At 50.2% G+C, this 22,493-nt stretch overlaps 1 protein-coding gene and 1 pseudogene across 1 annotated transcript in view, besides 7 other annotated features; one reads left to right on the top strand and one right to left on the bottom strand.

Annotated features, from left to right (window-relative positions):
- Window positions 12,959-13,646: an enhancer, noted in NCBI's record as "H3K27ac-H3K4me1 hESC enhancer chr7:75993799-75994486 (GRCh37/hg19 assembly coordinates)". NCBI's record gives its function as "activates a minimal SCP1, AML or CMV promoter by ChIP-STARR-seq in primed H9 embryonic stem cells {active_cell/tissue: H9 hESC(primed)}" and the evidence as "EXISTENCE:reporter gene assay evidence [ECO:0000049][PMID:30033119]".
- Window positions 13,184-13,433: an enhancer, noted in NCBI's record as "active region_26199". NCBI's record gives its function as "activates an Ori minimal core promoter by ATAC-STARR-seq in GM12878 lymphoblastoid cells {active_cell/tissue: GM12878}" and the evidence as "EXISTENCE:reporter gene assay evidence [ECO:0000049][PMID:35858748]".
- On the bottom strand, window positions 16,015-16,360 carry PPIAP81 (peptidylprolyl isomerase A pseudogene 81; annotated as a pseudogene).
- Window positions 18,803-19,212: a silencer, noted in NCBI's record as "silent region_18313". NCBI's record gives its function as "represses an Ori minimal core promoter by ATAC-STARR-seq in GM12878 lymphoblastoid cells {active_cell/tissue: GM12878}" and the evidence as "EXISTENCE:reporter gene assay evidence [ECO:0000049][PMID:35858748]".
- Window positions 18,803-19,732: a biological region, named in NCBI's record as "NANOG-H3K27ac-H3K4me1 hESC enhancer GRCh37_chr7:75987737-75988383".
- Window positions 19,062-19,708: an enhancer, noted in NCBI's record as "NANOG-H3K27ac-H3K4me1 hESC enhancer chr7:75987737-75988383 (GRCh37/hg19 assembly coordinates)". NCBI's record gives its function as "activates a minimal SCP1, AML or CMV promoter by ChIP-STARR-seq in primed H9 embryonic stem cells {active_cell/tissue: H9 hESC(primed)}" and the evidence as "EXISTENCE:reporter gene assay evidence [ECO:0000049][PMID:30033119]".
- The window catches only part of YWHAG (tyrosine 3-monooxygenase/tryptophan 5-monooxygenase activation protein gamma), a 32,193-nt gene continuing 28,836 nt past the window's right edge, over window positions 19,137-22,493 (top strand). Inside the window, exon 1 of the mRNA NM_012479.4 lies at window positions 19,137-19,406. Coding sequence (NP_036611.2) covers window positions 19,320-19,406 — 87 coding nt within the window. The 5' untranslated portion in view covers window positions 19,137-19,319. The remainder of the gene's footprint in view (window positions 19,407-22,493) is intronic.
- Window positions 19,533-19,732: a silencer, noted in NCBI's record as "silent region_18312". NCBI's record gives its function as "represses an Ori minimal core promoter by ATAC-STARR-seq in GM12878 lymphoblastoid cells {active_cell/tissue: GM12878}" and the evidence as "EXISTENCE:reporter gene assay evidence [ECO:0000049][PMID:35858748]".
- Window positions 19,816-20,006: a silencer, noted in NCBI's record as "fragment chr7:75987439-75987629 (GRCh37/hg19 assembly coordinates)". NCBI's record gives its function as "represses an EF-1alpha promoter that drives an FKBP-Casp9 reporter gene in an ReSE screen in K562 erythroleukemia cells {active_cell/tissue: K562}" and the evidence as "EXISTENCE:reporter gene assay evidence [ECO:0000049][PMID:32094911]".

Below are 22,493 nucleotides of genomic sequence, written 5' to 3'. Positions count from 1 at the left end.
TCTGCTGCTGCATCCATTGAAGGCTTGGAAGACAAAGGGTGATGTCTGCAAAGGGATTGCCGCAGACCTCACGGCAGCCCCACGACTGCACAATATTTGGACATTGTCTTGGGGGGCCTGGCCTCATCTTCTTGCTGCCAGCCAGCCAGAGATTATTATTTTTTCTTGGCAGATGCAGAAACTGGATGCTCAGAGAAGGGACCAATCTGTTCAAGGTCACTCACCCTGAGCTAGAGGCAGCCTTGGAACCTGAGTATCTGGGCTCTCACCCTCTTCTCTTCCCCCTGCAGTCTGGCTGCCCACATTGGTTTGTTTCACGCTCAGAGAGTCCCTCCATCACTCTCAGGCAGGAGGGGAAGCTGCAGACAGAGGGACGCTTGCTCCCTGCCTCTCTGAGTCCAGCTCCGGTCTCGAGATTGCTGTATTATTAGTAACAGCCCACGTCTGCGCAGTGCTTAACGGCCTCCAGTGAGCCAGGGGACTTTGCATGCAATATCTCATTTGATCCACCTGGCCAGCCACAACTGGGAAGTGAAAATTATTGTCCTCATTTTACAAGTGGGGAAACTGAGGCTCGAAAACTGTATGCATTCATTGAATTACATTGAGGTTCAAAGACACACAACAAATACATGTCCACCAAATTCGGATCCCCTGCTGCTGTGGGATGCCAAAATGAACAGGATGTGGACTCTGTACCCAGAAGGAGACAGCCTAGTGGGATATAATGCACATACATTCCTAGGCCTTGTGTAAGACACCATGTGGGGGACCTTGCAGGAGAAATGTTATGGGCATCAGAGGCAGAAGAAAAGGTCCTGCCTAGTAGAAGTTCTGGGAAGCCTTCTGGAAGAGCAAGCATTTAGCTGGGGTTGAAGGACCTGGATTTGGGTAGCTGGGGAAGGGGAGATGGGCTCCCTCCATATCTTCTCCCAGCATCCTGCATCCTAGTCTTCTTCCGTTGGTGTGTCTTTCTTTCTTTCTTTCTTTTTCTTTTCTTTTTTTTTTTTTTTGAGATGGAGCCTCGCTCTATCGCAGTGGCATGATCTCAGCTCACTGCAACCTCTGCCTCCCAGGTTCAAGTGATTCTCCTGCCTCAGCCTCCTGAGTAGCTGGGACTACAGGCGCATACCACTGCGCCCAGCTGATTTTTGTATTTTTAGTAGAGAGAGGGTTTTGCCATTTTGGCCAGGCTGGTCTCGTACTCCTGGCTTCAAGTGATCTGCCCACCTCGGCCTCCCAAAGTGTTGGGATTACAGGCGTGAGCCACGGCGCCAGGCCCAATGTGTCATTATTTTATGCACCTAATAGGCACTGAACTTTTTTTTTTTTTTGAGACTGAGTCTCGCTCTGTTGCCCAGGCTGGAGTGCAGTGGCGTGGGGACAAGGTGGTGATGGACAGGAGCCCTTCACTGGTGGGATCGTTAAAAATTATGCAGTCCTGTATTCAGGAGGCTGAGGCAGGAGAATGGCATGAACCTGGAACCCAGGAGGCGGAGCTTGCAGTGAGCCTAAATCGCGCCACTGCACTCCAGCCTGGGTGACAGAGTGAGACTCCGTCTAAAAAAAAAAATTATGCAGCCCTGGGAGCTGGGATCACAACCTATTCTCACCACTCACCACCCTCAGTTCAAACTGCTTGGCTGGATTTTCAAACTATTGAAACCATCGCCGAAGGATGCTGGGTGCAGGAGGCATGTGTTAACTCTTAAGTTCTTGCTGGACCTGAAGGATACCCTTATACCTCCATCTCACCCAGGTCCCCATCTCTATGGGGCAGGTGAAGACTTACTCTGAATCACTGAGAACTGGGGAGGTTGTTCTTTTTTTCTTTTTTTTTTTTTTTTTTTGAGACAGAGTCTTGCTCTGTCGCCACGCGAGAGTACAGTGGCGCCATCTCAGCTCACTGCAACCTCTGCCTCCTGGGTTTAAGTGAGACTCCTGCCTCAGCCTCCTGACTAGCTGGGACTACAGGTGCGTGCCACCATGCCCAGCTAATTTTTGTATTTTTAGTGGAGATGGGGTTTCACCATATTGGCCAGGATGGTCTCAATCTCTTGACCTCATGATCCACCCACCTCAGCCTCCCAGAGTGCTGGGATTACAGGCGTGAGCCACTGCACCCGGCTGGTTGTCCCTATTTTACAGATGAGAATAAAGACTGCAAGATGTGGGCCGGGCACGATGGCTCATGCCTGTAATTGCAGCACTTTGGGAGGCCAAGGTGGGAGGATTTCTTAAGCCCAGGAGTTTGAGACCAGCCTGGGCAACACAGGGAGACCCCTGCTCCTCATCCATCTCCTGTCCCAGAAAGTAAAAATAAATAAATAAACAAACAAATAAATAAAATAACTGGGCCTAGCTACTAGGGAGGCTGGGGCAGGAGGATCCCTTGAGCCCAGGAGGTTGAGGCTGCAGTGAGCTAGGCTGCAGTGAACTATGATGCCCTCCAGCCTAGGCAACAGAGCAAGACTCTGTCTCCAAAAAAACAAAACCAAAAAAGACTGCAAGGAGCTCAGTGGCTGCCAAACATCACAGCTGGAACTAGAGTCCATGCTTCCAACGCAGCCCCATCTTACGACCTCATCCTCCCCTGGAGGAAGCCCTTCAGGGGCCTGCCTCCGTCTGCGTGTGGGGAAACAGGGTCACCCCGCTGGGCTTTCTGCAGCAGTTTGTGCAGATGGAAGAGATGCCCCAGCTACCTGGCCTGGTGGCCTCCACCTTCCCTGAGCAGCTGTCTTTCTTGCGCAGGTTGGGTCCATCCCAGCAGCTTCTGGGATGAGTCTGGGGCACCTGGCCAGGCGCTCAGCGCCTTCTTTGCCTGTCTCCATCTCCGGCAATCTGTCTTCCTGTCTGTCTCTCTGTTGGATCCTCATCTCTCTCTGGGGCTGTTTCCACCATGGTGTGTCTGTTTCTTTTCATTACCCTTTTCTCATCTCTATTGTTATTTGTTTTGTCTGCCTCAAGGTTTCCTCCCTGATGTTTCTCCTATCCCAGGAATGGCCTCAGGACTTCCAGCCCCATAGGAATCACAGCAGCCCCTGCTCTTCCTGGTCCCTCTCCTCTGCTGCCTACATGTGCCAGTGGATAAAAAAAAATTACAGGCCAGCCGCTGGGGCTCACACCTTTAATCCCAGCACTTTGGGAGGTCAAGGAGGGCGGATCACACCTTTAATCCCAGCACTTTGGGAGGTCGAGGAGGGTGGATCACTTGAGGCCAGGAGTTTGAGACCAGCCTGGCCAACATGGCAAAACCCCATCTCTACTAAAAATACCAAAATTAGCCAGGCGTGGTGGCGGGCACCTGTAGTCCCAGCTACTTGGGAGGCTGAGGCAGGAGAATCACTTGAACCCGGGAGGTGGAGGTTGCAGTGAGCCGAGATCGTACCGCTGCACTCCAGGCTGGAGGACAGAGTGAGACTGTCTCAAAAAAAAAAAAAAAATTACAAAGGAGGGGGATCCCATTGTCATGCTCCAGTCTGTTCAAGCCTTTGGCTTCCTCTTCCCTCATTATGAAGCCCAAGAATCCCACACTATCCCCATCTTACAGAGGTGGATGTGTTGCCCAGAGATCAGGCTTACCAAGTGAAATTAGAGCATGTCAGGGCCTCTGTCCCAGGCAGGATGGAAAGGTGTGGAAGCCCAAGGTCCTGGCTGCCCCACCTATCACGCTGCCCCTTCCAGACACCTTGGGCAAACCCCTTTCCTCAAAGCTCAGGTTCTGCGGCTCTGTGAGCTGTCCCTTTGCCCAAACCACCTGGTCCTAGGTGGGATTCCTGAAACCTTTGGTCTCTGATTGTAGTTTTCCTCCTTCTCCAGCCCCTGCCTCATCCTGGGGAATTCCTACATTGACAGCACATGGCATCTTCCATCAGAGCATGTCAGGGTGAACCTTCTCAAACCTGGGCTTCAGCCCACATCCATATCAGCCCCCCAAGACCCAGGGGTTTCTGTGGATCTTGGGGGACCTCCCAGAACCAGGATACTCCACTCTCCACTCTCCTTTTTTTTTTTTTGAGACGGAGTCTCACTCTGTTGCCAGGCTGGAGTGCAGTGGCGCGATCTCGGCTCAATGCAACCTCTGCCTCCTGGGTTCAAGCAACTCCCCAGCCTCAGCCTCCCTAGTAGCTGGGACTACAGGTGTGTGCCACCATGCCCAGCTAATTTTTGTATTTTTAGTATAGACCAGGTTTCACCATGTTGGCCAGGATGGCCTCAATCTCTTGACCTCGTGATCTGCCCACCTTGGCCTCCCAAAGTGCTGGAATTACAGGCGTGAACCACCGTGCCCAGCCACTCTACTCTCTTGATGCTCTGGCACCTCTACTCCATTGTCCCCCTCTACCTATTCTTCAGGGTACCCCAGGCCTCCAGCCCCTGACTGCCTCCTTCTTTCCTTTCTCCACCTTGGCCAATCTGAGCACTCACTTCTTCGGTATATTGAACTCCTTATCCCCCAGTCTCATGGCCGCAGTGGGCCACTGCTTGCTGTGGGTGGTCTGACCTTGGCTTTCTCAGCTCCTAGCCCAGGCTGCTGAGGGCCCTGGAGAAAACCACAGATGGGGGGCCCTCAGGGTCTGGTCTCCAGGCCCAGCTGGTACTCCAACGGCCAGTCCTTCCCCAGCGTCCTCCCCACCCTCTCCAGAGGCTCCTGGAAACCTTCAGCCTGTTCTCCAGCCTCCTCCTATCCTCCTCCATGACTCAGCAGATGACTTCAGAGAAACACTTCTCAGAGAAACAGGTTCCCAGGGACCTGTCTGCTCTCTGCTCAGAAGTCCATTCACTCGCCTCCCACTTCAGTGGAACCTCCCTGAGTGCTCCAGATCTCCCCGTTTCCAGTTATCCACCTGTCCCTCCCACCTCCACCCCCTAACCCTCCAGCCTCACTCTCTTCTAGGCTCCTGCAATTAAACCGTCCCAGGCATCTCCCAGCCTAATGAAGCCTTCCTATTGCCCGCAGCCACCACCAGTATCAGCTCCTCCCTCCTTCATCTGACCATTAATTTACTGTTCAAAACAGTTGTTTTGAAATCTTTTTTCCTTTTTTTCCTTAAGAGATTGGGTCTTGCTCTGTCACCCAGGCCGGAGTGCAGTGGTGCAATCATAGCTCACTGCAGCCTCCAATTCCCAGGCTCAAGCAATCCCCCTGCCTTAGCCTCCTGAGCAGCTGGGATTACAAGTGTGGCTCACCACACTCGGCTAATTTTTTGAATTTTTTATTTTATACACACGGGGTCTCACTCTGTTGCCCAGGCTGGTCTCCAACTCCTGGACTCAAGAGATCTTCCCATCTTGGCCTCCTGTAGTGTTGGGGTTATAGGTGTGAGCCACTGTGCCCAGCTGGGGCTCCAAATCTTTTTTTTTTTTTTTTTTTTTTGAGACGGAGGCAGAGGTTGCAGTGAGCCCAGATCACACCACTGCACTCCAGCCTGGGCGACAGAGCAAGATTCTGTCTCAAAAAAAAAAAAAGAAAAAGTAAAGAAAAGAAATGAAGGTCAACAGCTAGTCCATCTTCAGGTTTTGCTTCTCAGGACCTTTTGTTTATCTTGCCCTCCCACAGCCCCAGAACCTAGGAAATCCTCATGATGCCATCGTGCCCTCTTTATGTATGTATGCATTTTCTCTTTCTATGAAATGGGGTCTTAGCATGTTACCCAGGCTGGTCTTGAACTCCCAACCTCAAGCGATCTTCCCACCTCGGCTTCCCAGATACCTGGGACTACAGGCACATGCCACCGTGCATGGCTCATTGAGCACTTCTTAACTTTTTTTTTTTTGAGATGGAGTCTGGCTCTGTCACCCACGCTGGAGTGTAGTGGCACAATCTTGGCTCACTGCAACCTCTGCCTCCAGGGTTCAAGCCTCAGCCTCCCGAGTAGCTGGGATTACAGATGCATGCCCGGCTAATTTTTGCTTGTTTGTTTGTTTTTCTGAGACAGAGTTTCACTCTTGTTAGCCAGGCTGGAATGCAATGGCGCCAACTCTGCTCACCTCAACCTCTGCCTCCCAGGTTCAAGTGATTCTCCTGCCTGAGCCTCCCGAGTAGCTGGGATTATAGGCATGTGTTACCATACCTGGCTAATTTTGGGTTTTTAGTAGAGATGGAGTTTCTCCATGTCAGTCAGGCTGGTCTCAAACTCCCGACCTCAGGTCATCCGCCCACCTTGGCCTCTCAAAGTGCTGGGATTACAGGTGTGAGCCACAGTGACTGGCCCATTTTTTTTTTTTTTTTTTTTTTAGTAGAGACGAGGTTTCACCGTGTTGGCCAGGCTGGTCTCGAATTCCTGACCTCAAGTGATCCATCTGACTCGGCCTCCCAAAGTGCCGGGATTACAGGCGTGAGCCATCATCATTGAGCACTTCTGATCTGCACAGGATAGCTGGAGTTCAGATAACTTTGGCAAAGGCAAGAAAATGTAAAGGTTTTCATATTAACCCAAGTGTCTTGTTTTGAGCTGATGGATCATTGGTTCCTCATTTAGCAAAGGAGAGACAGAGATCCACAGAAGAGAAGTGATTGCTTTAAGGTTATTTAGCAAGTCATTGTTGGAACCAGGCCCCTAGGGTTCTATTTGCTGTCCTGGCTCCTGAATCCAGCATGGATGGCCGCAGTCTTGGGCAGTCCACCTGGCAACTGCGCTCCCTCCAACTTCTCCAGTGGGGCCTTGACTTTGACCCACCCTGTCTCTTGCAGAGACCACACTCCTTCTCATTCCCATGAGGGGGCAGGTCATTCGCTTCTTCCCTCTGTGCCCTCCCTCACCTACCTACCTTCCTCTGCATCCTCTGATAGACGGGGTTAGACATAAATCCAGTTGGCCAAGCACGGTGGCTCACACCTGTAATCCCAGCACTTTGGGAGCCCAGGGCGGGCAGATGACCTGAGGTCAAGAGTTCAAGACCAGCCTGACCAACATGGTGAAACGCCATCTCTACTAAAGATACAAAATTAGCCAGGCATGGTGGTGGGCACCTGTAATCCCAGCTACTCAGGAGGCTGAGGCAGGAGAATTGCTTGAACCCGGGAGGCAGAGGTTGCAGCGAGCCGAGATCGTGCTACCCTGGGGCTGGAGGCCAAACCTTCACTTGACCTAAGGTGCTCTTTGGCCTTACGTAATACTCTGGGCTCATATTTCTCAAAGGGGGTGGTGTCGAGAGCTTAGCACCCCATGTCGTGGCCACTGATGTCGTTGGTCATCTTTCCATTTCCATCGCACAGCAGGCGTTATGGATGGAGAGAAGCACGTGGTGAAAACCTACTCTCCACTCCTGGAGAGTGTCCAATGTGGGGACAAAAGGGCTTCACACATTCTGGTGTCATTATTGATTGATTGATTGATGTGGAGTCTCGATCTGGCACCCAGGCTGGAGTGCAGTGGTGCGATCTCGGCTCACTGCAACCTTTGCCTCCCTGGTTCAAGAGATTCTCCTGCCTCAACCTCCCGAGTAGCTGGGACTACAGGTGCGTGCCACCACGCCTGGCTAATTTTTGTGTTTGGTGTCATCTTTAACAGCTGCTGGGCTGGGCGTGGTGGCTCATGCCTGTAATCCCGGCACTTTGGGAGGCCGAGGTGGGCAGATCACGAGGTCGGGAGATCGAGACTATCCTGGCCAACGTGGTGAAACCCCATCTCTACTAAAAATACAAAAATTACCTGGGCGTGGTGGTGTGCGCTTGTAGTCCCCAGCTACTCGGGAGGCTGAGGCAGGAGAATCGCTTGAATCTGAGAGGCGGAGGTTGCAGTGACCTGAGATTGCACCACTGCACTCCAGCCTGGCAACAGAGCGAAACTCTGTCTCAAAAAAAAAAAAAAAAGAAAAAAAAGCTTCTGGAAGCTGGGAGTGGAGGCTCACACCTTTAATTCCAGCACTTTGGGAGGCGAAGGTGGGGAGGATCACTTGAGGCCAGGAGTTTGAGACCAGTCTGGGCAACATAGCAAGATCCTCATCCCTACACAAAACAAGTTAGCTGGTCATGGTGGTGCCTGTAGTCCCAGCTACTCAGGAGGCTGAGGTGGGAGGATCACTTGAGCCCAGGAGTTGGAGGCTGCAGTGAGCTATGATCCCACCACTGCACTTAAGCCTGGACAACATAGTCAGATCTCGCCTCTACTACAAGTTAAAAAAAATTTTTTTTTAATTTAAAAAGTTGTTAGGGAGAAGGAAAGTTATCCTTTTTCTTTTCTTTTTTTTTTTTAGATGGAGTCTCACTCTGTCACCCAGGCTGGAGTGGAGTGGCATGATCTCAGCTCACTGCAACCTCTGCCTCCCAGGCTCAAGCCATCCTCCTACCCCAGCCTCCCAAGTAGCTGAGACCACAGTCGTGCACCATCACACCCAGCTAACTTTTTGTATTTTTGGTAGAGATGGGGTTTCACCATGTTTCCCAGGCTGGTCTTGAACTCCTGAGCTCAAGAAATGCTCCCGCCTTGGCCTCCCAAAGTGCTGGGATTACAGGCGTGAGCCACCGCGCCTGGCCCGTATTTTTTGTCTTTTAACCCCAGAGGGTAGAATAAGAAAGCACGGGCAGAAGGTTCTGGGAACGTGAGAGCTGTCCCACAGTGGAGAGGTGACCTTGGGGAATGGTAAATTGCCTGTGGCTGGAGGTGTGCTAGGAAGGGCTGAGAACAAGGAGATGGCGAGCTGTATAAGGGATTTCCATCCTGGACAAACTAGAGTCCCTCTACAGTCCTTTCCAACTTAGCAATCCCAAACTCCAGGAAGACAGGAAGGGCACCTGGCTGGCTCTGAAACCTAGAAGGCACTGCAGGGTCCACGCCTCTGAGTCATCTTGACTGTGCTGGAAGCTGGAGGTGGAGATGGTACCTTTTGCCCCTGCCTGTCCCCAGGCTCAGAGCAAGGAGTTGGGGCTGAATGTCTGCGCCTACCTCCTGCCCCGGTGCAGCCTGGGCTCCTGTCTGCCTGCTGCGTCAGCACTGGTGTTCCTATTACATGACCAAGTGGGATTTGCACTCTGGAAGCATTAGTGCTGGGCTGACTCGGCAGAATGGCCAACATCAGAAAATGCCAGCTCCTGCACCCCTTCCAGCCGGCTCCTGGGACCCCTCCTGGCTGTTTTCCTTCCTTTTCAGGCAACCCAGGCTGGCCTCCTTCAGACCACTGGTGGTGCACAAACCCTCCAGAGAGATTTGAAAACATACAGATCCTCAGACCTCTCAGCACTGGAGACTCTGACCCACTATGTCTAGGTGGGGTCTGGGGCCGTATTCTAGATCAGCTTCCTCAAAGTGTTGGGGGACTGTGATGCACAGCTAGGCTGAGGACCACTGCTCAGCATTACCCATGAGCAGTGGTCTCTGTCCCCTGACTCCCCTGCCATTGCTGGAGAGCTCCAGCTTATGGAGAAATCGCTTCCTTGAACTGAGCTGAAATTGATGGGCTCTCTGCCACTTGGAGTCCTCTAAAAACAAAAGCAGCCATCAGTGGTGGCTCACACCTGTAATCCTACTACTTTGGGAGGCCGAGGTGTGAGGATTGCTTGAGGCCAGGAGTTTGAGACCAGCCTAGGCAACACAGAGAGACATTGTCTCTGAAAAAGAAATCAAAATATTAGTTGGATGTGGTGGCGTGCACCTGTAGTCCCAGCTACTTGGGAGGCTGAGGTGGGAGGATCGCTTGAGCTTGGGAGGTTGAGGGCTGCAGTGAGCCATGATCACACCATTGCACTCCAGCCTGAGTGACAAAGGGAGACGCTGTTGCAATACACACACATATGCACACACACATACACATGCGTGCACACGCACACACACACACACACACCCACATACACACAAGAAAAACCACAGGCTGCCATCATCCCCACCACTATGGGTCCCCCACAAGTCATTTGTCCTCTGTTGGTATTCCAAGTACCAAAACACTCCAGATTCTTCTACGAAGTCGAAGAATACTGCTGTTCATTTCACAGTTCGATTCAAAGGGCATGGTACAGATTTCTCTTTAAGATTCAGTTGGGGAACCCAAGCTCTAGATGGGTAAAGTACTTGGCCTAAGTTCACACAGCTGGGTTTCGGGAGAAGACTGCAGCCCAGGCTCTTCTCCCTCTTGAACATACTTGTCTCTTTGAGACAGTGGCCCATTTTTTTCATGGTGACACACATTCCCTTGGTGGGATAATTTTATTTTATTGTTTAAAGGAGTCTTGCTCTGTCACCCAGGCTGGAGTACAGTGGCGTGATTTCAGCTCACTGCAACCTTTGCCTCCCAGGTTCCAGCAATTCTCCAACCTCAGCCTCCCCAAGTAGCTGGGATTACAGACGTGTACCACCACGTCTGGCTAATTTTTGTATTTTTAGTAGAGACAGGGTTTCATCATGTTGGCCAGAATGGTCTTGAATGCCTGACTTCAAGTTATCCACCCGCCTTGGCCTCCCAAAGTGCTGGGATTATAGGCATGAGGCACTGCACCTGGTCTCCTTTTAAAAAATTGTTTTTGTTTTGTTTTGTTTTGTTTTTTAAAAATTTTTTGAGATAGCGTCTCACTGTGTTGCCCAGGCTGGAGTGCAGTGGCGCCATCATAGCTCACTGCAGCCTCCAACTCCTGGGGTCATGTGATCCTCCCACCTCAGCCTCCCAAAGTGCTGGGGTTATGGGGTTGCAGGTGTGAGCCACAGTGCCTTCCCTGATTCCCTTCTTAAAGCAGAGAGTCTCCTTCATTGAACACAACTTCGCTGAGCACCTGCTCCATGCTAGGCTTGGAGATCAGAGATGGCTCAGACTGAGTCTATGTCTTTCAGGAATATGACCCCAGGGAAGACAGACTCATATACATCTGAGTGCTATATGGTGGTCTGGGCTCTTCTCTAGAGAACATGGCAGGAGAGCCCATGGGGACTGAGGAGAGAGTGGTTAGTTCAACTCAGTGTCTGAGTCTGAAGGATGAGGAGGTCTGGGTCTAATGGGGGTGGGCATAGAAGGAGCTTTCAGCACAAGGAACAGCTTTTGAAAAAGCCCAGACTGGGTCAGGCGCAGTGGTTCACACCTGTAATCCCAGAACTTTAGGAGGCCGAGGCGGGCAGATCACCTGAGGTCGGGAGTTCGAGACCAGCCTGACCAACATGGAGAAACCCCATCTCTAATAAAAATACAAAATTACCTGGGCGTGGTGGCACATGCCTGCAATCTCTTCTACTCAGGAGACTGAGGCAAGAGAATCGCTTGAACCTGGGAGGTGGAGGTTACGGTGAGCTGAGATTGTGCCATTGCACTCCAGCCTGGGCAACAAGAGCAAAACTCTGTCTCAAAAAAAAAGAAAGAAAAGAAAAAAAAAAAAGAAAAGAAAAAGCCCAGACTGCCCAGGTGTGGTGACTCATATGTATAATCCCAGCACTTTGGGAGGTAGAGGCAGGAGGATTGCTTGAGCCCAGGAATTTGGGACCAGCTTGGACAACTAAACATAGACCCTATCTCCACAAAAAAAAAAAAAAAAAATAGAAAATTTTTTTCTACTGGGCGTGGTGGTGTGAGCCTGTATTCCCAGCTGCTCTGAAGGCTAAGGCGGGAGGATCATCTGAACCTAGGAGGTCGAGGCTGCTAGTCCAGCCTGGGCGATAGAGCATGACCCTGTCTCAGAAGAAAAAAAAAAGATATTTTGGATTTTTCACTGGGGAGAATGGAAAGACACTGAGACAGGGCCATTAGCTGAAAAGCTGTTGCTATAAACTGGAAGATCTTAAGACGCATCCACCTGGTTCCTCTATTTTATAGATGCACAATCTGAGAACCAGAGAGGCAAAGTGATTTGCCCAAGGTCACTCAGGAAGATTAATGGCAAAGCCAGTGCTTCAACCTGTGGGTCCTGCCTCCTGGGCTCATGCCTCCTCCACTGGCCTGAGATCCTCAGAAGGAGAGGCAGGTTGCAGAGATTTCCTGTCATTCTTTGCCTCTGCTGCAGGACAGCCTGCTAAGGCAGTGACAGGGAAGTGTTCCCAGAGGACAGGGCGGGGAGCATTGCTGCTTGGCTTCAGAAGATGCTGCTGCTGCCTCTGCACTAATCAGGGAGCTTTCCAGCCACAGGAGGAAGCCAGAAGCCAGGGGATGGGGCTGCGGTGATTTATGACTGCACAGAAACAGCAGGACAATCATGTCCCTGGCTGTCCTGCATGTCTGCCAACCGAGCCGGACAGCATGCATTTAAAAGGTCATGTCCTCCAGTGCTGGAGAAGGGGCTGGAGGGTGCCCTTCGGTCAGGTTGGTCACTCCTTTCCTGAGCAGATGCCAAGGAGGGTAGATCCTGGACAGGAAACAATGCCTTTGCTGCTAAGAGTCTAGGAGGTCTGCCCGGGTTTGAATCCAGGCTCTGTTAGCTGAGACACGGAGAGGCTGTGTGATTTTTGGCTGATCACACAGCCTCTCTGTGTCTCTGCTTCCTTGTCTTAAAAAACAGGGGTGAAGCTGGGCGCGGTGGATCACACCTGTAATCCCAGCACTTTGGGAGGCCGAGGCAGGTGGATCACCTGAGGTCAGGAGTTCGAGATCAGCCCGGCCAACATGGTGAAACCCTGTCTCTACTAAAAATACAAAAATTAGCCGGGCGTGGTGGCACATGTCTGTAATCCCAGCTACTCAGGAGGCTGAGGCAGGAGATCACTTGAACTTGGGAGGCGGAGGTTGTAGTGAGCTGAGATCGCGCCACTGCACTCCAGCCTGGGCAACTGAGCAAGATTCTGTCTCAAAAAAAAAACCAAAAAACAAAAAAAAAACTGGCCGTGCACTGTGGCTCACGCCTGTAATCCCAGCTCTAACTCTTTGGGAGGCCGAGGCAGGCGGATCACCTGAGATCAGGAGTTCGAGACCAGCCTGACCAACATGGAGAAACCCCATCTCTACTAAAAATACAAAAATTAGCCGGGCATGGTGGCGCATGCCCATAATCCCAGCTACTCAGGAGGCTGAGGCAGGAGAATCGCTTGAACCTGGGAGGCAGAGATTGTGGTAAGCTGAGATCGTGCTGTTGCACTCTAGCCTGGGCAACAAGAGCGAAACTCCATCTCAAAAAAAAAAAGAAAAAAAAAGGAAGAGAAGAAAAAGAAAAAAAAAAAAGAAAAGAAGAAAAAAAAAAAAAGAATGCCAGTAGCTTCCATTTCAGAAGAACATGCTGAATCTAGAACTATGACTCATCACAGCTGGGTGGGGCACTTAGTGCTCCTTCAGTTTAATCTCACATTTTCAAGGTGGGGATATTAGACCCAGAGAAGGGACAGGTCTTGCCCGCAGAGCTAGGGGCCAGGCAGAAGCCAGAATGCTAGCTCTTAACGTCCTTGCTCCAGGTTTCTTTCTGCACCACCAGGCAGTGGAGGAGGAAGCCAGGATCTGAAGCCATTTGCTCTTTGTGATGTCGTCATGCCTCTTAAGCCGCCCTCTAAACAGCCAGGACCTGTGGGCAGCTGCAGCTGGAAGCATAGAGCTCTGCAAAATCAGAAGGGAAAGGAAGACAGGGCCAACTCTCCCCTGCACCACTGGAGGGGAGGCTCCGTGTGGAGGCTGCGGATGTCATTTCTGTTTGGCTGTGAAACATCCTTTTCTTTGCATCTGCTTTATTTTACTTTTTCCCAAACAGATTTGGCCTGAGCTGTTTTTTTTTTTTTTTTTTCCCCTTTGTGCATTAGACTGTTGGGGGAAGGAACTGAGGTGGAGAGGTCAGAGAGGTAGCCTGAAATGGGCCAGGAAGTTCCTGAGATTTCACATCTGGTCTTGAATCATGGACCTGTTTGAGCCACATGTGGGCAACCCAGGTTGGCGGTCAGGGCTCATTCCCACGGACTAGTGATGCAGGGGCCAGAAGAGCTCAGGCCTGCCCTGCAGGGAGGAAGAGAAAGGAAGAGGAATGACTTGGCGAACACTCATGCAAGAGACAGAAGGAAGTGGGAGGGTTTATTCACCAGCAGGATCGCATTTTGCTGGGTGGTGTGGTAAGAGAAGAGGGTCCGGGCCAGATCTTTTGTTGGAGGAGGGGGAGAAAACTATTTCTAGACTCTCTCCCCACTCAGTCCATCTCCTCCACCTCCTGCCGGTACAGTCTCCCCAAAGCACACTTTCTTCCCTCATTCATTTCTTTCTTTCTTTCTTTCTTTTAGAGACAGGGTCTTGCTCTGTTGCCCAGGCTGGAGTGCAGTGGCGTGATCACTGCTCACTGCAGCCTCCAACTCCTGGGCTCAAGCAATCTTCCTGCCTCAGCCCCCAAATAGCTGTGATGACCATGCCCAGCTAATTTTTAAATTTTTTTTTTTTGTAGAAATGAGGTCTTGCTATGTTGCCCAGGCTAGTCTCGAACTCTTGGCCTCAAGTAATCCTCCTGCCTTGGCCTCCTGAGTAGCTAGGACTACAGCTACATTCATTTCTTGTTTTTCTTTCTTTTTTTTTTCTTTTTTGAGACACAGTCTCACTCTGTCGCCCAGGCTGGAGTGCAATGGCACAATCTTGGCTCACTGCAACCTCCACCTCCTGGGTTCAAGCGATTCTCCTGCCTCAGCCTCCCGAGTAGCTGAAACTACAGGCACACGCCACCACGCTTGGCTAATTTTTGTATTTTTAGTAGAGACAGCATTTCACCATGTTGGCCAGGCTGGTCTCAAACTCCTGACCTCAGGTGATGAGCCCACCTCGGCCTCCCAAACTGCTGGTATTACCGGCGTAAGCCAGTGCACCTGGCCATATTCATTTATTTATTTCCTATTCTCTCTCTATGTACTTATCATGTGCCAGGTACTCTGCTGAGCACTGAGAAGCCAAGGTGAGGATGAAAAAGACAAAACCCAAATCTGATCATTTTCTGCCATTGTTAAAATCTCTTCACAGGCTTCCGATTAATTTCAGAATAGAAATTTAACTCCTGGGGCTGCCATTCAGTGCCCCTCATGTTCTGGCCCCTGACTCTATCCCCAGCCCCTTACCCATCACCCAGACACCAGATACATCAGATTCTTTGCCTATCAATAAATATTTCAGGGGAGATGGGTGTGGTGGTGCATGCCTGTAGTCCCCACTACTCAGGAGGCTGAGGTGGGAGGATCACTTGAGCCCAGGAATTAGAGGCTGCAGTGAGCTATGATCGTGCCACTGTACCCCAGCCTGGGCAACATAGTGAGACCCCCACCTCTAAAAAATAAGTACATAAATAAATAAGTCAGGGAGGAACTTGCCTTTGAGTCTTGCTACCTGTGCCTTTGCCTGCTCTCAAATCCTACACTCATTTAAAGGCTGGGTTGGAAATGTTACCAAACTCCCTGGAGAAGCTTTTCAGAATCTCTTCCTATGCAGCCTGAAAGAAGTTATTTTTTAAACAAAATATTTACAGTGCTTAACACACTCTGAATTCCTTGAGGACAGGGGTCCTCCAGCATCTGGCATAGAGCCTGCAATATTCCCCCATGGAAACTCTTTCATTCCACATTCTCATCCACACTTCATGTTTCCTATTTTATTTTTCACTTCTTATTGATTTTTTTGTTGTTATTTAGTTTTTATTTCATAGTCACAAACTTAACTCTGCAATCCACCCAGACATGGAAGGGAATAAGAAAATCATGGGACTCAAAGGGAACTGTAGCAAGAACACAAAGATGATAGGATACTGGGAGCAAATGGGGTGGATGGATAGGTGCTCTCCTGAGCTACTGAAGGAATGGTCTGGTGGTTAAGATAAAACACAAGTCAAATTTACTAGAGTTGTCCACAGTCAGCAATGGTGATTTTATTTTATTTATTTATTTATTTTTTAGAGGGAGTTTCACTCTTTTTGCCCAAGCTGGAGTGCAATGGTGCAATCTCAGCTCACTGCAACCTCTGCCTCCCAGGTTCCAGCGATTCTCCTGCGTCAGCCTCTGGAGTAGCTGGGACTACAGGCACCTACCACCACGCCCAGCTAATTTTTGTATTTTTAGTAGAGACAGGGGTTTCACCATGTTGGCCAGGCTGGTCTCGAACTCCTGACCTCAAGTGATCTGCCCACCTCGGCCTCCTAAAGTGCTAAGGTTACAGGCGTGAGCCACCGCGCCCGGCCATAGCAATGGTGATCTTCTTGCTGGTCTTGCCATTCCTGGACTCGTAGCGCTCCATGGCCTCCACAATATTCATGCTCGCTTTCACCTTGCCAAAGACCTCCATGCTGGCCATCTAACCACTTAGTCTTGGCAGTGCAGATGAAAAACTGGGAAGCATTTGTGTTGGGTCCAACATCTGCCATGGGCAAGATGCCAGGATCTGTATGCTTCAGGATGAGGTTCTCTTCATCGAATTTCTCCCCATAGATGGACTTGCCACCAGTGCCATTATGGTGTGTAAAGTTACCACCCTGACACATAATCCCTGGAGTAATTCTGTGAAAGTAGGAACCCTTGCCGGGCGTAATGGCTCACACCTGTAATCCCAGCACTTTGGGAGGCTGAGGCGGATGGATCATGAGGTCAGGAGTTCGAGACCAGCCTAACATGGTGAAACACCGTCTCTACTAAAAATACAAAAATTAGCTGGGCGTGGTGGTGCGCGCCTGTAATCCCAGCTACTTAGAAGGCTGAGGCAGGAGAATCGCTTGAACCCGGGAGGCAGAGGTTGCAGTGAGCCAAGACTGCACCACTGCACTCCAGCCTGGGCTACAGAGCGAGACTCTGTCTCAAAAAAAAAAAAAGAAAAAGAAAAGAAAAAAAAAGAGAGAGTAGGAACCCTTATAACCAAATCCTTTCTCTCCAGTGCTCAGAGAACGAAAGTTTTCTGCTGTCTTTACAACACTGTCTGCTAACAGCTCCGATATGTTAACATGGCTTTACAGTTTAGATGAGAGGTCACTTCTTTTTTTTTTTTTTTTTTTGAGACGGAGTCTTTTTCTGTCTCCCAGGCTGGAGTGCACTGGCACAATCTCGGCTCACTGCAAGCTCCGGAGAGGTCACTTGGCTTCTTGGTTTCCATGCCCCTAACCTTGAAGGAGACGCAGCCCAAGGGCTCAATAGTAATGTCAAAGAACACGGTGGGATTGACCATGGCCAGTAGTAGAGTACTCCTGGCAGCAGCAGAGTCTGCAAAGCTCACTTTTTTTTTGTTTTGTTTTTTGATATGGAGTTTCGCTCTTGTTGCCCAGGCTGAAGTGCAATGAAACGATCTCGGCTCACTGCAACCTCCACCTCCCAGGTTCAAGCAATTCTCCTGCCTCAGCCTCCCAAGTAGCTGGGATTACAGGTGCCCACCACCACACCCAGCTAATTTTTGTATTTTTAGTTGAGATGGGGTTTTGCTACGTTAGCCAGGCTGGTCTCGAACTCCTGACCTCAGATGATCCACCCGCTTCGGCCTCCCAAAGTGTTGGGATTACAGGTGTGAGTCACCGTGCCAGGCCAAAGCTCACTTCTTTTTTTTTTTCGAGACGGAGTCTCGCTCTGTCACCCATGCTGGAGTGCAGTAGAGGGATCTCAGCTCACTGCAACCTCCGACTCCCGGGTTCAAGTGATTCTCCTGCCTCAGCCTCCCGAGTAGCTGGGATAACAGGTGGGCACCACCACGCCCAGCTAGTTCTTTTGTATTTTTTGTAGAGACAGGGTTTCACCATGTTGGCCAGGATGGTCTCGATCTCCTGACCTTGTCATCCGCCCGCCTCGGTCTCCCAAAGTGCTGGGATTACAGGTGTGAGTCACCGTGCCCAGCCTTTAAAAAACTTTTTATTTTATTATTTGTTTTTGAAACGGAGTCTTGCTCTGTCGCCAGACTGGAGTGCAGTGGCGCAATCTCAGCTCACTGCAACCTCAAAACTCACTCCTTACTGACTTCTAGCATACTGTACATATCTCACCTATTTTCTTGGGCAGGGATTTTTGTCTGTTTTGTTCACTACTGTACCTCGTGGCTTAGAATAGGGCTTGGAACACAGTAGCTTCTCATAGATAATTGTTGAATACATAAAGTAAATAAAATGTGCAGTCAAAACTATCAGGCCTGCAGGCATGGTGGCTCACATCTGTAATCCCAGCACCTTGGGAGGCCGAGGCGTGAGGATCGCTTGAGCCCAGGAGTTCGAGACCAGCATGGGCAACAAAGCTAGACCCCCGTCTCTACAAAAAAGCAAAACAAAGCAAAAAAACCCATGCTATCTGCAAGCTATGTGGAATAATATGAACGAGAATATATCAGCGTGACCTCAGTAGGTATGTATGTCTTAGGAGGGGAGAGAAGGGCTGGACAACCAAGCCCTAGACGCAGCCCAGTTAGATGTGGAGTAGGCTCCTGGTAGCTGAACTCAATCTTTAGCACTCCACCCTGGAGAGGAAGAAGGGGTTCTCCAGGGTCAGCCAGCAGACAGCTGCATCCTTTCTGGAAATCAACCACTGTGGCCAGCCGGTATTTGTCGTTCGTCCATGTTTTCACCTATTCAGGCCCAAGAGCCTCAAGGTGGGGTGGGGGGTTTAATGGAAGCTCGTAGGGGGTGGAGGTGACAGTCCCCAGGGTCTGGCCCCTTAATTCGGCCATCCCGCGGGCAGGCACCACACTGAGAGTCTGGATCTACAATGGACGCGCCTCCTGTCCTTCCCCCACCACGACCTGCTACGTGATCTCGGAAACAGGGTCTAGGACTGAGGCCCCTGCCCCCTCCTCTCGTAATTTCCCGGAGAATATGGGGCGGGGCGGTGAATCAGCACTCGCAGGGACTGATGCAGCCCTGATCCCCGCCAGGGGTCCCCAGCGGCCTCGGGATTCGAAGCACCCCCCCCCGTCCTCCTGCGCCTGCGCGCTATGTCCGCTGGGAGTTGTAGTCTTGACCGCCCCTTTGTCCTTGGTCTCCTCAGCGCCTCAGTGCACTGCAGGTTACACTACAACTCCCAGGGGCCCATGCGTCCGAGGGCTGGCGGGGCGGGAGGCTCAAGGGGGAGGCGTAAGGGGGCGACTGGAGAAGCTGGGGTGAGGGAACTGGGGAGTGAAGTGAAAAAAGGGGAGAGTGGGGGCGCAGTGGGAAAGGACGGGGTGCCCGGAAGACGCGCAGTGAGCCCAGCTGGGGAGCGGGGAGTTCTAGCCGCGGCCGGGCTCGGGCGGGGCATGGGCGGGGCTTGCGGACGGGTGGGCGGGGCCTGCCTTCGTCATGCGGCGTGGGCGGGGCCGCAGGGGGTTGTCCGTCAGTGGCACGCACAGCAGCCGCAGCCGCCTCGCGCCCGGTCCCGCGGTCGCAGCTCCAGCCGCCTCCTCCGCGCAGCCGCCGCCTCAGCTGCTCGCTCTGTGGGTCGGTCCTCTCCGGCACTTGGGCTCCAGTCGCGCCCTCCAAGCCCTTCAGGCCGCCCCAGTGTCCTCCTCCTTCTCCGGCCAGACCCAGCCCCGCGAAGATGGTGGACCGCGAGCAACTGGTGCAGAAAGCCCGGCTGGCCGAGCAGGCGGAGCGCTACGACGACATGGCCGCGGCCATGAAGAACGTGAGTGTCTCCTCCCCTCCCCCGCCGCTCCCTGCCCCTCCGAAGACGCGGTCCTTGGCGTGGAAGGCCCGGGGCTTCGTCGCCCTGTCGCGATGGCGGGTTGACCGCCCCGTCTCGCTCACTGAGGGGGGCTGGGGAGGGTCCCGAGAGGCGACGGGAACCCGGGCTGTGACGCGGCCTCTTTTCGGAGTCCCCGTGGCCCCGCGGCGCTGCCATTCAGGCCCGGCGCGGGCGCGGGCCGGGGCGAGGTCCCGCGGGGCTGGACTTGGGAGCGGGGTCTCCGGCCCCCGCGGCTCTAGGGGTGCAGGGGACCCGAGCGGGGAGGCGTGCGCATCCTTTGTGCCCCACTTCCCCCCTCCTCCTAGCCTGGGCGTGGGGGCGGGGGACCGCATGGATGCGGTTCCTCTTTCTCTCCCTGGTGTCTGGGCGGCGCCTTTCCCATTCACTCAGCAGGTCTCCCGGTTTTCCACCTCCCCAGCCCCCCCAGAATCTTCCCCACTGTCTGTCCCGACACATCCCTGAGAATCTTCCCAGAAACATTGTATAGGGTCTCTTGAAAACCTGAGCTCCGTGGTGCAAAATCGAAACCACCTTGCTCACGTTTTTCTTAACAAAAGGCTCTTCTTTCTCCATTCGCCCAAAGCAAGTCCTCCGGCTTTTAGGAAGGGAGAACGTTTGTCTCGCTAGCGTTTTCATTGATCATTCTCAACATGTCATCTCCATTTTATTCCCTAATGTTTTTGTATTGAAAAGGGTAGGTATTGCCTGTAAAATTAAAAGGTGGTGAATGTAGCTGACTGGTTCGATTCGTGTGACATATGCCGTTTCTTTTTTGAATACAGGCACGCGTCTGTTGAAATTCCTATAAGTTGGGGGAAAAAATATTCTGTCTGATCTGATAGTGCAAACAAAGCCGTGGTGAGAGGCAGTATCAAGTCATTCCAGAAGATTCTGCATTTGTCATATTGCAGAGAGCCTAGACTGGGTGGAGGCTGGGAGGAGTTATTTTAAAGGGGAAAAAGTCTTTTTAAAAATTTTTGGTTGTTAGATGCATCTGAGGCTTTTTTTTGTTTAAGCGAGTACATCTTCATGCTGATGAAAAGAGAATACCGATCGCCAGTTGTCGCATTTTGTCTGGGTTGCAGATTCATCCCTGTATTGCACCATTTTGTCAGTAACACCACATTTATCTAATGGGCTGTCAACCAGTTTGATATTAGAGGAGGGGGAAGTATTGAGCATTATGAAATGAAAGGTAGAAAATTAATCTAATGATTTCGGGCCCCCACTATCTTAATATTTAATTTCCTGCCTTATGTAACAAAGATTTTCAAATTCATCTCCATTGTGAAGTGGATGCTGGAGTGTACCTTGCGTGTTACATCTTTTAAATGAAGCATTATTGATATTACAGATCAATTCTTGAATAAATTTACTGGTTCTCAAAAGAGGACAATGCTGATACCTTTATATTTAAAGCAGCTATGTTAACAAAGAAAGGTTTTTGTCTTATTGAAGAGAACTGATTCTGAAATTCGGAATACTGCTGTGGCCACAGTTGCTGTCTTACAAGGTTTTAATGCTTAAATGATGTAAGTTGCACTTCTAATAGGTATCAGTATTGGAAATATCTTCAGTTCGTGTTATTTAGACTCTTATAATTTTTCCATATTTCTTTTCCATATTTCTAGTTCCACAGGAAAGCGAGTGACCTCGCACCTATATCCATAGCAACCAAGTGATGTCACACACAATGACACAGAGGCTGCAATGCACCTAAGGGCTGGTAGGGAGTGTGCAAATGGCATTTATCCAAGGTAATGCAGAAATTAGCCGATAAGCCAGGTGGAATCGAGCACTTCATATTCCACTAGATGAGAATTAGTCCAAAAAATAAGGATATCATTTACCCTTAGACATGCAAATCTGTGACCTCTAGCTAGGCCTTGTTCACCCTATTGCTAGCTTTCTCACAAAAGTTTATAAGATGCTTTTTTATATTTTTAAACATTCATCTCATTTATTTAAAATACTGGGCAATGATGGAATAAAAGTAGAAATTTTAAACGATAATTTATGGAATAAAAGAAATTTTAAACAAGAATATAGTTTATGACACTAGTGCACAGATGGGATGTATACTTGTGTTTATTGCAGATAATTAATTTGGCAGGTTTTAATAAAAACCTTAAAAAAATGATGACTTCCTACTGAGTCATTTTCAGTTACTAGTAGGGAATGAAAACCCGTTCCAAAACCTTTTAAGTTGAGATTTGGGAAGTTTGTTTTTTACTAGATTTGTGCTTCTGCTCCTTCACAGTATAGAGGAAAGAACAGTTTGTAAAATAAAAACCTTTTTTCAAATCTGTTTCCTGTGACTTTAAGGAAATAGGCTCTGTCCCTCATTTTCCTCATCTGTAAAATGGGACAATACTTGAAAAAGTTGTGCGGATTCAATAAGAAATGTAGTAGGTGTTCCAAAATGGCAACTACCTAAGAAATTTTCTTCCTGTTTATAAAAGTCATCGTGGAGAATTTGGAAACTGCAGAGAAAGAAACCAATCTTACCACTCAAGTGAGCTCTCTTTTAAGGCCGAAATCATCCTGTTGATAAAGGGATTAAAATTTATTTGAGTTTAATGAAATTATCCTAGTGCTAACACTATTGGGATCTGTGCAGAATGATAGTTCTTTGTGGGTAACCAGGACAGAAGTACTGTATTGTGCAGTATTTTGAAAAGAAGGAAAGAGGAATGTTAGGTCTTTTAAGACAGATGTTTAGTCTTGTATTGAAGGAGAGTGAACACCTAGATGTATCCTACGTATTAGACAATACTGTCTTGTCCTTTGACTTTTACTAGTCTCTTGAGAAGTTAATATTTTAAATAGGCTACTGGTACTTGCCTTGGGGAGAAAAGGTTCAGGGTTACTAATTTTGTTGAAGTTACTGAGTTAAGCAGTTTAACTCAATGAGGGGTGGGAGGGCAAAGGTGGCAAAAGGCTATCATAATTTTTCTAAATATTCCTAGTGGGATCAATAGACTTTCAAATTCTTTCTATCTTAAATATTCCATTCCCCCTCCCCCC

This window comes from Homo sapiens, chromosome 7, assembly GCF_000001405.40.
Source record: "Homo sapiens chromosome 7, GRCh38.p14 Primary Assembly".
Lineage (NCBI taxonomy): Eukaryota > Metazoa > Chordata > Mammalia > Primates > Hominidae > Homo > Homo sapiens.
This window is presented reverse-complemented; position numbering and strand designations above follow the sequence as displayed.